The sequence below is a fragment of the Homo sapiens genome, chromosome 2 (genome assembly GCF_000001405.40).
Source record: "Homo sapiens chromosome 2, GRCh38.p14 Primary Assembly".
In the NCBI taxonomy this organism is placed as follows: Eukaryota; Metazoa; Chordata; class Mammalia; order Primates; family Hominidae; genus Homo; species Homo sapiens.
The window spans coordinates 96,945,097-96,958,416 of NC_000002.12; the positions used below are offsets into that span (position 1 = coordinate 96,945,097).

At 52.9% G+C, this 13,320-nt stretch overlaps 1 protein-coding gene and 1 pseudogene across 1 annotated transcript in view, besides 2 other annotated features; both read right to left on the reverse strand.

The window, feature by feature from the left end:
• The window catches only part of FAM178B (family with sequence similarity 178 member B), a 110,696-nt gene that overhangs the window by 69,212 nt on the left and 28,164 nt on the right, over positions 1–13,320 (reverse strand). The window contains exons 7-8 of the mRNA NM_001122646.3: positions 6,283–6,388; positions 2,722–2,806 (exon numbers count right to left, since the gene is read on the reverse strand). Of these exons, the coding sequence (NP_001116118.2) occupies positions 2,722–2,806; positions 6,283–6,388 (191 nt within the window). The remainder of the gene's footprint in view (positions 1–2,721; positions 2,807–6,282; positions 6,389–13,320) is intronic.
• Positions 4,926–5,567: an enhancer, noted in NCBI's record as "H3K4me1 hESC enhancer chr2:97615759-97616400 (GRCh37/hg19 assembly coordinates)". NCBI's record gives its function as "activates a minimal SCP1, AML or CMV promoter by ChIP-STARR-seq in naive H9 embryonic stem cells {active_cell/tissue: H9 hESC(naive)}" and the evidence as "EXISTENCE:reporter gene assay evidence [ECO:0000049][PMID:30033119]".
• Positions 5,568–6,207: an enhancer, noted in NCBI's record as "H3K4me1 hESC enhancer chr2:97616401-97617040 (GRCh37/hg19 assembly coordinates)". NCBI's record gives its function as "activates a minimal SCP1, AML or CMV promoter by ChIP-STARR-seq in naive H9 embryonic stem cells {active_cell/tissue: H9 hESC(naive)}" and the evidence as "EXISTENCE:reporter gene assay evidence [ECO:0000049][PMID:30033119]".
• Positions 11,612–11,719, reverse strand: RNA5SP101 (RNA, 5S ribosomal pseudogene 101; annotated as a pseudogene).

The following is a 13,320-nucleotide window of genomic DNA, read 5'->3' on the forward strand; positions in this document are numbered from 1 at the left end:
GTGCTTGAGGAAGGAGGTGCTCAATGTGTCTTTGCTGAATAAATGAATGCTCACTGCAATGAGGCATGGCAATGTGCCAGAGTATCCCTTCTCTGAGTGCACTGAGCTCTCTGCACAGCTGACATGTACACGTGTTGCTTCTCAATCCAGGAATACAATTCTCCGTTACCGCCCCACCCCCCACACACACACTAGAGTGCCCTGGGACACTCGGGCCCTCAGCCCCAGTCACTAGAGCACACCCGTAATAGTCAATGCTCTTAAGTCCTGGTCCCCTCAACTCTTTCCTTACTCAGCAGGTTGGGATAAAGGCAAGTGCGTAAGAATCTCCCTAGGATAGTCTGGGAAGAACTGCTGGTCACCACAAACTCCAGGAAAGGATGGAAGTTTACACACAAACAAATCTCCTGTTTACATATGAGAAGCGGCTTGAACACACACACACAAACACACACGTGCGCGCGCACACACAAATCATAGATACGGGTGAAGGGAGGCAGCCCCAGTCTATCCTGAGCTCTGTGCCCCAGAGGCCTGCTGTCCTCTCAGACACTCAGAGCCCTAGGCTATTAGTGAAACCCTGAGGAAATGACTTCCTTCTGCATCAATCCTGGATCTAATTTAACCTTAGAAATGCTTCCTGAAATGGCAGTTGATCTTTAGTCCTGACTCCTGGCAGATTCTCTCTGGGCACCTGGCCCTTTTGCTCTTGACCTAGCTTTTTTTTAAGTTGTGGTAAAATACACATAACATAAAATTTACCATCTTAACCATTTCTAAGTGCACAGTTCAGTGGTAGTAAGTACATTCACGCTGTAGTACAATCACCACTACCATCCATCTCCGAACTCTTTTTTCTTGCAAAACTGAAACTCTGTACTCATTAAACAGTAACTCCCCACTCTCTCCTTCCCCTAGCCCCCGGTAACCACCATTCCACTTTCTGTCTCTATGAATTTGACTACCCTGGGTACCTCATATACATGGAATATGAATTTGACTACCCTGGGTAACTCATATACGTGTTTGTTCTTTTGTATGTTATTTCACTCAGCGTAATGTTTTCAATGTTCATCCATCTTGTAGCATGTGTCAGAATTTCCTTCCTCTTTTTTTAAAATAATACATCATGGACATTCAAAGAATTTCCTTCCTTTTTTAAGGCCAAGTAATATTCCACTGTATGTATGTACCACATTTGGTTTATCCATTCACGGGTGGACACTTGGGTTGCTTCCACCTCTTAGCTATTGTGAACAATGCTGCTAAGAACCTGGGTACGCAACTATCTGCTCAAGTCCCTGCATTCAGTTCTCTAATGGACCGGGCCTCTCACTTTCCCCATACCAGTTGAGATCCCGACCCCAGGCATGGAATTCTGTAGGCCAGTCCCTGGTCCCCTGGGCAGGGAAACACAATCCCAGGCTGGGCTCTCAGGTAGTGGCCACAGGAGATGCTCTGGAGTTAGAAGAGCCAGAGCTAAGCTGACAGGGGACTCAAGAGCTTGTTTCTGATCCTTCCTAATGGGGAGCGCATCAGAGACAACGTGGCAAGAAGCAAAGGAGAGTGGGGCATCCCCTCTGCCTCAGCGGAGGAGACACATACCACTGCAGGGAGCAGGACAAGGGAAGCCTCTGTTCCCCTAAAGGGCAGGCATGCCGCAGAGGCGGCCCCTGGGGCTCCAAAGTGCATCGGGGGCTACAGGGGCAGAGGTTACGAAAAGGGAGAGGGCACTGAGACTGGTGCTACTCAGAAGACCTCGCTTAGAGGGCTCCATGGAGGGCAGGGGCGGAGGAGTCTGGAATGCTCTAATTTGACAGATGGCTCCAGCTCAGCCAACTCCTGAAGCAGAAGAGGCACAAAAGCAGAAACTTAAAGGGCTGGGGGCTCATGGTACATCCTTGGCCTTGGCCTTCAGGGCCATGTGCTTTCTTGCTCTGGGGTGAGCAGCCTACAGCTGGGGCAGAGGCGGGGTCTGACCACCTGGGAGTCCCTCTTACTGTCTGCTTAAGCAACTTTCAACTGGTTACATGATATTTTTTGGTGCCAAAGTGTCTAGGTTCAGGTACCAAATGATGACAGTCTAGGGAGGGTGCAGCCACTAGGGGGGGAAATTAATTCCTTCTGTGGAACTCTGAACATCCAAAAGCATTATAAAGAGGAATTAAATATACCTCCTAAATGCCACAACCAAGGCACCAGCTTGAGGCTCTCATTCCCACCCAGACCAAACTCAGGGGCACTGTGGATGTCCTATCAGCCAAAGAAGGCTGTCAGTGAGGGAGACAGCTTCAGACTCTTCCCTTTGGTGACTCCAACCCAAGGAGCACCCTGATTTGATGCGGATATTCCTGGAACCCTCTCAAGCTAACCGGCGCTTTCAGGAAGGACTTGGGGGTGAGCTGTCCCCTCAGACCTAGAGACTGTCTCAGTCTGAACCCACTGTCCTGGACTGCTCTGGGATCCCAAGAGCCTGTGAGGTCAGCCTGGCCGTGGCCACAGGGGCTGAGATCTGAGGCCAGTTCAAGGTGCCGAGGAGCCTGTTGGTTCAGCTTTTTACTAATGCTGGAGCCTGAGCCAAAGATGGCCTGATGCCTCTACACCCTGGATGCAATGTCCCACCAGCATCTCGCCTGCAGCTGGGCTCTGGGCACTGAGAGTCACGTATCACAGGCTTGGGAGCTCAGTGCGCCAATCTCCACCCTGCATCCCAGTACTGACCAGGCTGAAGGAAGATTCCATCCACAATGAGATCCCACAGAAGACCAAAGGCTCCCAAAGATGTTTCTGGAGGCCATGTCAGCAGCTAGGTGGAAAAAAAAAACAAAAACAAAAACCTGGTGAGCTGGGTCATTCCTAAGAAGCAATAGTAGCAAACTTCTATTACTCCACGTTAAATAAATCCCATTTAATTCTCATAAGTCTGTGTGGTAGAAGGACATTGTCATTGTTGCCAATTAGAGGATGGAAAACCAAGCTCAGAGAAGTCAAACAACTTTGCCAGAGTCACACAGCCTTGAGCGGCAAAGCCAGCACTCAGGCCCAGACACCCAGGTCTGTGCCACTTGAAACCTCCTACTCCGTCCACCTCCTGGCATGGGGGTCTTGGTCCCTCTGCCCCTCGCTCCCTGTGGTCATAGCCATGCCCCTCCAGGGCAGGGCCCAGCGTAAGGGGAGAGAAAGCATGCCTGCACTCATCACAGGCAGCAGGACAATCACAGGGTGGGCCCTCTCTGTGATCCTCAAATCATTTCCAGGTCAGCGCCTTAACACACTGTCATCTGAGACCACCAGCTTAGACGGTCCTTGGTACTGAACACAGGTCCTCAAACAAGGGCAGGGTGGTCATTTCTGGGATCCTTATCTGAATGCTCCTGGAGCCTGACAGTCAGAAGCTGGGGTTTGGAAACATGCAGAGAGGCTGACAAGGGAATAAGCAATGGGACAGCAGCAGCCCACAGGTGCCATCTGGTCTAGGGGCACTCACCAAGTTCACGACAGTGGCAGCCATGCTGTGCATGACATCGTTCCTCCCCAGTACCCAGAAAAGTTTGCCTTGTGGGCACTGTGGGCACATCTCCTTTCAGGACTGAGGCTCTTGTTCCTCCAGGGGCTGGGCAGTGTCGCTGCCAGGGCCCTGAGCCCAGGACCCTCTCTGAGCCTTGACCTTGGAGGGAGCACCTAGTGCAAGGTCACAGCCCTCACCAAGTGTCTGCGTCTGATAATTGGCCGAGGCTGGAGACCTCGCCTCAACTGGGTCAACTCTAAAGGGGTCACCGGGCTCCAGAGCCCAGTGGGACTCCTGGGGGCAAATACTCTCCCTCCCTCACAGGTGTGGTTCCCAAGCACGCCCCCCCCAGTAAGCCTGCGTGGATGCCCTCCGGTCGGCATCTAGAACTCTGCCTTTCTCCTCCTGTTGTAACTTCCTACAACATTTTCATGGCTGAACACTTGAGTCTCTCCCAACAAGAACATACATTCATTGAGGGTGTACACCTCCTGCTGATGTCCACTCTCCCGGCAAGGCTGGCCCACACGAGGGCACAGCTCAGCCAGTGCCCATGCACACCCTATTAAAGCCCCAGGGAGGAGTACACGGGATCGAGTCCCTGAGAGAGAACTCAGGCTGTCCTTTCCAAGAACATCGAAGGAGCAGGGTTGGAGCAGTCTGCCCCCCTCACCCACGCCCTGGCTCAGTAGGGACCCCAGGTACAGGCATGGCCCCAGCAGCCCTGGGACCCCACTTCCCGAGTTGCCTTTGACTGGACAAGGGGACCACTTAACCCCTCTTAGCCTAACCAGATTCTCCTTCCTGAGGAACCAGATTTGGGAAAAGGGTCTGGCCTTACTTGGCCATGGAACCTGCAGGGAGACAGCAGCAGAGGCCAGTCCTAGGATCCCAACCCTTCCCCATCCCTGGGTCCAGCTCCTCCTGGGGCCCAGCATGCCCCTACCCTGGGACCTCAGGAACCACCCTCGCACCTGCAGAAGGGAGCCCCCATGGGTTTCTGCCTCCCACAACCACAGTCCCCAGTAACTGCTCGAGGTTCTAAGTCCCCTGAGGACACTGCCCAGAAGGCCCCCCAAAGCCAGTGCACCCCTTTCATGGATCTGGATTCAGCCATGGGGGATGGGAGCTTTTGTCTCTCCTTCCTGCAGAATGTGAACTGGAACTCTGCACTAACAGCGTGCCTCACAGAGGACACCCAGGCCCAGAGCAGAGCTCTGTGGGGGCACAAGGACAAGGCAGCTCACGGATGTCCCACTTAACTCCACATGGGCCCATCAGGCCTGGCTCCGAGGCACAGAGCTGATGCTAAGAAACCTGTCTGTAGCGACACAGGAGTAGGTGGCAGGGCCAGAACTCACACCAAGTCTGTCTGTCTGACCTCAGGGCTGGGTCCTGCACTCCTCTCCCCTCCAGCCCCCTCGCAGCATGATGGAGACGGGGAAAGAGGCAGGGGAAGGCTCGTCTGTGCCTCCCAGGATGGGGGTCTCTGAACCTGGAAGAAACCGACACGCCCCCGGGAAGGCACTCCACGCCAGTGTCAGGGTGACGCAGGGCCCCTCTGTGGGTGCCGTCTCAGATGGGTCCTTTGTGCCTCCCAATGCTCGATTGTGTGTTCCGTCACACACTGTGCAAGGAGCAGGGGCTGCACCGCCAGCGTGGGGAATAATGGCCCCACTGTTCCCCATTACTCACCCACTGCTCCTTCTGGGCCTTGGGTGGGGGATTGGGGGCTGACAAGGTTAGCAGCTACATACCAGGGCCCCAGAAGCTGCATGTCTTCCTCCTCCGGGGTAAGGAGGAGCAAGGTGAAGGACCCAGAGCACGAAGGGAGAGCTGGAGGGCTCTCTCTGGACTGCAGCCAGCCTGCCGAGGCCAAGCAGTTCCTGGAATAATCCGCCCCACATGATGGCTCTGATTTACAGCTGGGGTCCAGGCTCCAACTGGCAGGAATGGGACCAGCTGGAACTTGTGACCCACCTGTCCCCAGACAGGGACGATTCTGGGTGGGGACCAAGGCCAGGACGGCATCCTTATGCCTGGCATTCAGATCACAGCGGTTGGCTCCTGTCCCTGCTGGCTTCTCACTGCCTCTCTCTGTGCAAAGGTGTCAAGCCCTGGGCAAAATGTATGTTCCCCTATGGCAAAACGCTCTAGCAGCAACCAGGAGGGAAAAAACAGCACAGCCAGAGCAGCCGTTCCAGGTTTTCCCAGCCAAGCTACAACTGCACACAGGAAGCACACGCTCAAACGCCCAAGCACCCTCGGCTCCAAATTCACGAGGGATCCAAACCAGGCACTGCAGGATTGCCGTGGGCCCTGAACGGCCCTCCCGCTGCGTATGGGATGAGGGACCTGTGATCGCTGGTGAAGAAATTAGCTTTGTTGCATAGGAAGCACTTGTTGAGGGGCTTGGACCGATTCACTGAGAGGTTAGACCGTAAGTCCACTGGGTACACCAGGTCCCTCAGGAAAGCCACGTGAGGGCACAGGCAGCACCCAGAGACACACACCTTCGGGGGAAGCAGAGGCTCCCAGCGCTCGCCGCTCTGGGAGACCACAGGCGAACCCCCTGCACCTCCCTGGCCTTGGCATTCTTAGCACCATTGTGGGGATCGATGCCCAATCAGCTCTCCTCCCTCCTCCCAGCCTGAGCCCAGCCAAGCAGCACCTAAGGCAAGAAGAGGTGAAGTGCCCACCCCTCAGCCTGTGGGCCTGCCGGGCCACCAGACTGCAGCGCTCCCGCCACCTAGTGGCAGGCCTGCGGTCCTCACCTGGAACAGCCACTGGAGCAGGGATACCGGGCAGTCAGGCATGTGCAGGTAGAGGATGTTCAGGAGGCCACTGCGCAGGAAGGAGAGCTGTTGGGCTGGCGGGGAGCTGGGAGGCAGAGGGCTGAGGTTAGGGGAGGCCTCTGTGCCAGCACACTTGTCTCGGTGACACCGCGGGAGGCTGTCACTACCCAGCTTCACTGGCTGTTGGGAAGCATATCTGTAACGCTAGAGACAAATGTGCTTTTCAAGCCCTCAGTGCATGATCTGTCAGAAGGAAAAGAACCCAGGCTAGCATCAGAATCACCTGCTCTTCTTGAATGTTGCGTGAACACACCTCATGGTGTTTAAAACACATGGCGGGTGGCTGGAGGCAGTGGCTCACGCCTGTAATCCCAGCACTTTGGGAGGCAAAGGCGGGTAGATCACGAGGTCAGGAGTTCAAGACCAGCCTGGCCAACATGGTGAAACGCTGTCTCTACTAAAAATACAAAAATTAGCCAGGCATGGTGGCATGTACCTGTAATCCCAGCTACTCGGGAAGCTGAGGCAGGAGAATTGCTTGAACCCGGGAGGTGGAAGTTGCAGTGAGCCAAGATCATGCCACTGCACTCCAGCCTGGGCAACAGGGCAACACTCCGTCTCAAACAAACAAAAAAACATGGTGGGGCAGTGCAGTCTGCCCTTTCCATTTGACCACAGGGGAAAGTGGAATATTTGCCAAGGGTGTGGAAAGGTGAGGAGTGAGGCCAGGAGTGGGTGTCTTAGCCTCGGGTTCCTCCAGCTGCAAGGGGCGGGCACGATTACCCCCACGAGGCCAGCGTCTCGCGATCTGGTTACACAGGGCGTTTCTGCTCTGCCTTATGTTTTTCAGATACAAAGGGGACACCTGAGAAGACCGGAAAATAACAGAAAGGGGCCCGGGATGAAGACATTCTGGGAAGGAAATACCAAACAAGAGTTCCATAGAGGATTCTTCAGAAACCATGTGAGCTGCAAGTGTCCCAGATTCCAGGGATGGGGGCGTGCTCAGACCAGCCACGCGGCTGTGGCTGTGACCGTGTGCCCATTCACACCACCCCCTCGGGCCTCTTCCTCCTAACAGGAGCTCTCAAAATCGGCGCTGGTGTGGAGATGAGCCCTGCCTTGGGGACCACTGACCCGGTAGATCACCTTGACCTACAAGATTCCAGATCTTTGCAAAATGAGTTGTTGAAATGTTTCATATGGTTGTAGGGCCTCTGGTAGAAGGTGCTTCAGAAGTCATTTTATAGGGGGTTGGCTGGACTTTGTCACCGTTCCTGAGCTCCTGGTCATCCCCAGAGAGCCTGGGTTTGGGGTAGGATTCTCCTACGTCCTGCGCATTTTGTGACCACCATCTTTGCTTGCTCTCTCTAGACCACGTCCCAAAGATCATTAACATGGATTCCAGGAAATGAAAACGTAAGTCACATTTGTTCTTCTTTTTAATGGCCCAAATGCATGCAAAGAACATTTCAGAAAGTACTTAACGTTGCCACCCTAGATAAAAAGTTTTTCAGTCAGCCCAACCTCCTCCTTCTGCTTCTCCTCCTTCTCCTTTAAAAAGGACATCATTTTTTAATCTGCCAGGAACAGAATGCTACAAAACAAAGATTATCCTCTGAGCCAAGCTGCTGTCTCTCTGAGAATGTCCAGGCAGTTTACAAATTGCATGTTTTTTCTCTAAGTCATTTAAGTTCAGAGGAGAAAGCAGCTTTGTTCCTGTGGTTGTGAAGTTTACCACCCTGAAATAGACCTTCGTTTGTACATACAAATACACGTGCACCCCAGGACTGCTGGCATGCTCCATTCTATCCACGTGCCCGGTCACATGGAGACTTTCAGGGACTGACCCCAGCAAGACGCATGGTTCAAGAACATGCACAGCAGCCCGAACGCAGACAATACCCATGTAAACAATGTCTGGAGGACCTTGCAAGTTGGCAGAACCCCGACAAGGGCCATGTGGTGAGGAGGCTGGCGCTTCAGGGACTCTGAGGAGACGCTGGCTCTGGCATTCTGCTGGAGGGGGCACCCCGCCAGTTTCTTAGTGGGAGAATTGATTGTACAAGGCCCTGTTGGCTCAGATCAACACATTTCTAACTGCTGCTCCAAGGGAGAGACCCCACAGTTGCAACATCTCCCTTCTGCTATGTGGGCTTTGCAGTTTCTGCCAGAGAAATGATTGATTGGCCTCTGAGTTCATTGCTGCTGAGAAAATTTTGTCTATGGGACCAGGAGCAACAGAAAGCCAGAAAGGACATAGTCCTGCTCTGCCCTGAGGTGACTGGCTTTCAAGGAATTCTGTGTTTAGGGTTAGAGGCAAGGACTCCCCTCTGCAGGCCGAGTGCATGCTCGGTGGGACGGGAGTGCTGCTTCTCCTTGGCTCAGCCACAAGCCCTTCCACGCCCTTCAGGTTATCACAGGGTGACCTCAAGCTTGGCTGCTGGGCAGGGAATGGGCCTTGTGCACAGACAATGCCTTAACTCTGGGGAAAGGAGGAGGATCCCAACAGCAGCACCTGGGCTGGGAAGCCTGGAGGAAAAGGGAAAAAGGAAAGGGGGTGGGAGGTGTGTGCAGTGAAAGCTCAAACGCCTTGGGTGACAGAATTGGCTGTTGTCAGAGTCACGTCCCCACATCAAGAACACGGATGCTGGGTCCAAGGGGGTGCCTCTGTCCACGGCCAAGCCAATGCTGAGGTCCGAAGTTATCCTGAGAATGTTGGAGGGCCCTGGAGGGAGAGACAGAGGGACAGAGCCTCCATCGGCAGCAGATACCATGCAGGCCTGGCTGAGTGGGAAGCCCCCAGCTGTCAGACCTGAGGATCCCATGAAGGGAGGTTCCCATCGGAGTCCTCAGCTGTGACTAGAGATGAGGAGGGAGCTGCTAATCCCCAGCCATGACAGCAATGACAGTGGGCAGGTGTCTGCCTCCACCCTCGCCGCCCACTGGAGCAGAAGGAAGCGAGGGAAGGACATCAGCTACAACGGGGAAACCCGCAAAACCAGTGACAGGAAATGGGGGCAGCTGGGCTCAGCACACGGGCCTTCCTAAGCAGAGCTCTGACCAGCTTCATCTTGGAATTTCTGTTCCTTATCACACCCAAGGGAAGATTCTTCCCGCCTCAACCTCCTCATTTATTTTATGGGCAGCAGTCCCAGAGGGCAAGGTCTCTAAATGCCTTTAGAATCCCAAGTGATGGCCGAAGGATAAACACCAAGTGTAGTTATTTATACGTATCAGCTCCTGGGCCTTTGCCAAGTTACTCAAATCAGTCTGAATAAAATGCCTAAATACAATAGAAACCAATAGCAACCAAAGCGTTCACCTATGGCCTTTTGCTTTCTCTTTCTTTGTTTAAACATAAGAGAGGCCAGATGCAGTGGCTCATGTCTATAATCTCAGAACTTTGGAAGGCCCAGGCAGGAGGATAGCTTGAGGCCAGGAATTTGAGACCAGCCTAGGCAACACAGTGAGACCCTGTCTCTAAAAAAAAATACAAAACTTAGCTAAGCATGGTAGTGCACACCTGTGGTCCCAACTACTTGGGAGGCCGAGGCAAGAGGACCTCTTGAGCCGGGAGTTGGAGGCTGCAGTGAGCTGTGATCGTACTACTGCACTCCAGCATGGGCAGCAGAGCATGGGCCTGACTAAAAACAAGAAAAAAATGAAATAAAAATGAGTGTTGGCCGGGCATCGTGGCTCATGCCTGTAATCCCAGCACTTTGGGAGGCCAAGGCAGGTGGATCACCTGAGGTTAGAAGTTCAAGACCAGCCTGGTCAACATGGTGAAACCCCGTCTCTACTAAATATACAAAAATTAGCCATGCGAGACCGGGTGCGGTGGCTCACGCCTGTAATCCCAGCACTTTGGGAGGCCAAGGTGGGAAGATCATGAGGTCAGGAGATCGAGACCATCCTGGCTAACACAGTGAAACCCCGTCTCTACTAAAAAATACAAAAAATTAGCCAAGTGTGGTGGTGGGCGCCTGTAGGCCCAGCTACTCGGGAGGCTAAGGCAGGAGAATGGCGTGAACCCAGGAGGCGGAGCTTGCAGTGAGCCAAGATTGCGCCACTGCACTCCAGCCTGGGAGACAGAGCAAGACTCCATCTCAAAAAAAAAGAAAAAAAAAATTAGCCGTGCGTGGTGGTGGGCGCCTGTAATCCCAGCTACTCAGGAGGCTGAGGCAGGAGAATCGCTTGAACCTGGGAGGCAGAGGTTGCAGTGAGCTGAGATTGCCCCATTGCACTGCAGCCTGGGCAACAAGAGCGAAACTTCGTTCCAAAAATAAATAAATAAATAAGCGAGTGTTACCACAGGCAGAAACTCAGGGATCCCATAATGGCCCTGCTTGCTACCTCCGCTTGCTCTTTATTTTGGGGGGCAGATGCAGCCAGCTGGAAGGCTCAGCCCTCTCCATACTTCAGAACTGCTGGGTTTATTGCACCTGGGCTTCAACCCTGGCCTGTTCCTCCAGGAAGAGAAGCTAGTGGCAAAACAAGAGGCGGGGCTGCCGGGCCTCCGGGAGAAGCTGAGCCTCATCCACCTCCTTCTTCCCCTGCCTGCTGGATATTCATGGAGGAACGGCCTGGCCCATGCATCGGGCTTGTGGAAAGCACGCTGGTCCTCGCACCAACAGTGGCAGATGCACCCAGAGGACAAACGCACACCCCAATGTCCTTGCAAATACTGTGAGGGGCCTATGACTAACTGAGCAGGGCAGACAAACTCCACCCTTCCAACTTCCGCCCCCGAGTGGGATGTGGGCTTTGGTCCTGACACTTTTCCATGCAGGAGCATTGGATTTCCTTTTGAATTACTGTCAAGGGTGGAGGAAAAAAGTTCAGCTCCTGCAATCAGCTGTTATCAGCTTCCGTCATAATGACATGTGACTGTGGTGGCAGGGGACTGACCCTGGGATGCACAGCTAGCTTGGTGATGGATGAGCAGGTCATCTGGACCACATGCACTCCCAAGGCAGGCTCCCCGGGAAGAGGGTTCTTGCACATAAACCTGGATAGGTCCAACAGGACAGCTGCTGGGACGCAGACGCCAAGCCCACCCAAGCTCGCTCTGCAGTCTGAAACAAACTGCTTAATTTGTGCTATTGCCTACTTTGTTCAGAGGGAAGAAAGATATTTTCCCCCTTTCACAGAAAGGTAAGGAGAAGTGAATCTATTTCAAGAGTTGATTTTTTAAAAAATGGCATTTACTTTCCTCTCTTCTAATGATAAAAATGATATACGTTCACTGTAGAAAGTTAGGAATATAAAGGTGGTATAACGAGGAAAATGAAAACCTAGCTGTCAGCTCCCACAGCATGAACTTTCTCCCACCCAAGTACTAACCAGGCCGGGCCCTGCTCAGCCTCTGAGATGAGAGAACATCCAGCATGTTCAGGGTGGCATGGCCACAGACCACAGCAGCAACTTTGTGTATGGAATTGGACTGACAGCTTTTTATTTATTATTATTTTTTGAGACAGGGTCTCACTCTGTTGCCCAGGCTGGAGTGCACTGGCATGATCACGGCTCACTGCAGCCTCAACCTCCCTAGGCTCAAGCAATTGTCCCTTCTCAGCCTGCTGAGTAGCTGGGACCACAGGTGTGCTATCACCCATGGCTCATTTTTTTTTTGCATTTTTTTGGGTTGAGACGGGGTTTCTCCATGTTGGCCAGGCTGCTCTAGAACTCCTGAGCTCAAGCGATCCTCCCAAAGTGCTGGGATTATAGGCATGAGCCACCATGCCCCGGCTGACTGCTTCTTAAGAGATCCCCTTGTCACCCGCCTCCATGGCCATGTTTCTGGCTGAATATGGTAAGGTTATTATTGAATGACTGACTAGTGTTTTCCCACTCTTATGTCTGGCCTTGAAGTCCTTGGCACAAGGAGGAAATGAAAGATGACCCAGGGCTAAATGGTGACCTCCAGGAAGTGGGCCTCGCCACTGCCCGGCAGAGGTCCCAGGACTGAGACCGAGTCACACAGCGGGCATTCCCTCCAGAAAGCCCAAAGCCGATTCCCAAGACTGCAGATCTGAGGCACTGGCAACACCCTCTCTACTGAGCCTCATTAGCATATCTGAGGGAGGAGGGTCTGAAACCCTCACTCCAGGGAAGCTGGGCAGCCACCTGGCCCCATTTGGCAGGCCTGCTCTGATCCCAGGTCACCGCTCCATGGGCCATCTCATCTGTCAAACACTTCCTGCACGCCATCCACTCTAGGACAGAAAACCTGCTGTCGGCACAAACTCCAAGGCTGAAGCAGCCCAGGAAGACGCCTTCCTTTCTCCGCTGTTCACCTCAGTTCCTGCCCAGACATTCTTTGGCTCTCTCCTTTCTCCAGCTCTTTCTTCTTTTCACCATCTATCTATTTATTAAATACCTTTCCAACATGGTGATGTGAACCCTTACTAATGTTCTTACACTCAGACCCAATAACCTCACACTGCAGCTATGAACACATTTTAGACCTCCAGACAAATACTCCCCAATATTCCCCGCCGTATTATTTATAATAAAGGAAGGTTGGAAAAAACTTTTATGTTCAAAAAATGAGAAAATGGTTAAATATGTTAGGGCATCAATGTAATAAAGTATTAGTTCATTATTAACATTTTATCATCTAATTGGAATGTTTGGACATTGTTCAGATTCTGATTTGAAGAATCTTTTTTTTTTTTTTTTTTTGAGATGGAGTCTCGCTCTGTCCCCTAGGCTGGAGTGCAGTGGCACGATCTCAGCTCACTGCAAGCTCCGCCTCCCGGATTCATGCCTATTCTCCTGCCACAGCCTCCTGAGTAGCTGGGACTACAGGCGCCCGCTACCACGCCCAGCTAATTTTTTTGTATTTTTAGTAGAGACGTGGTTTCACCGTGTTAGCCAGGATGGTCTCGATCTCCTGACCTCATGATCCGCCCGCCTCGGCCTCCCAAAGTGTTGGGGTTACAGGCGTGAGCCACCACGTCCGGCCTGAATAATCTATTAAAGACATCTAAAGAAAATTGAAGGCCAGGCGCA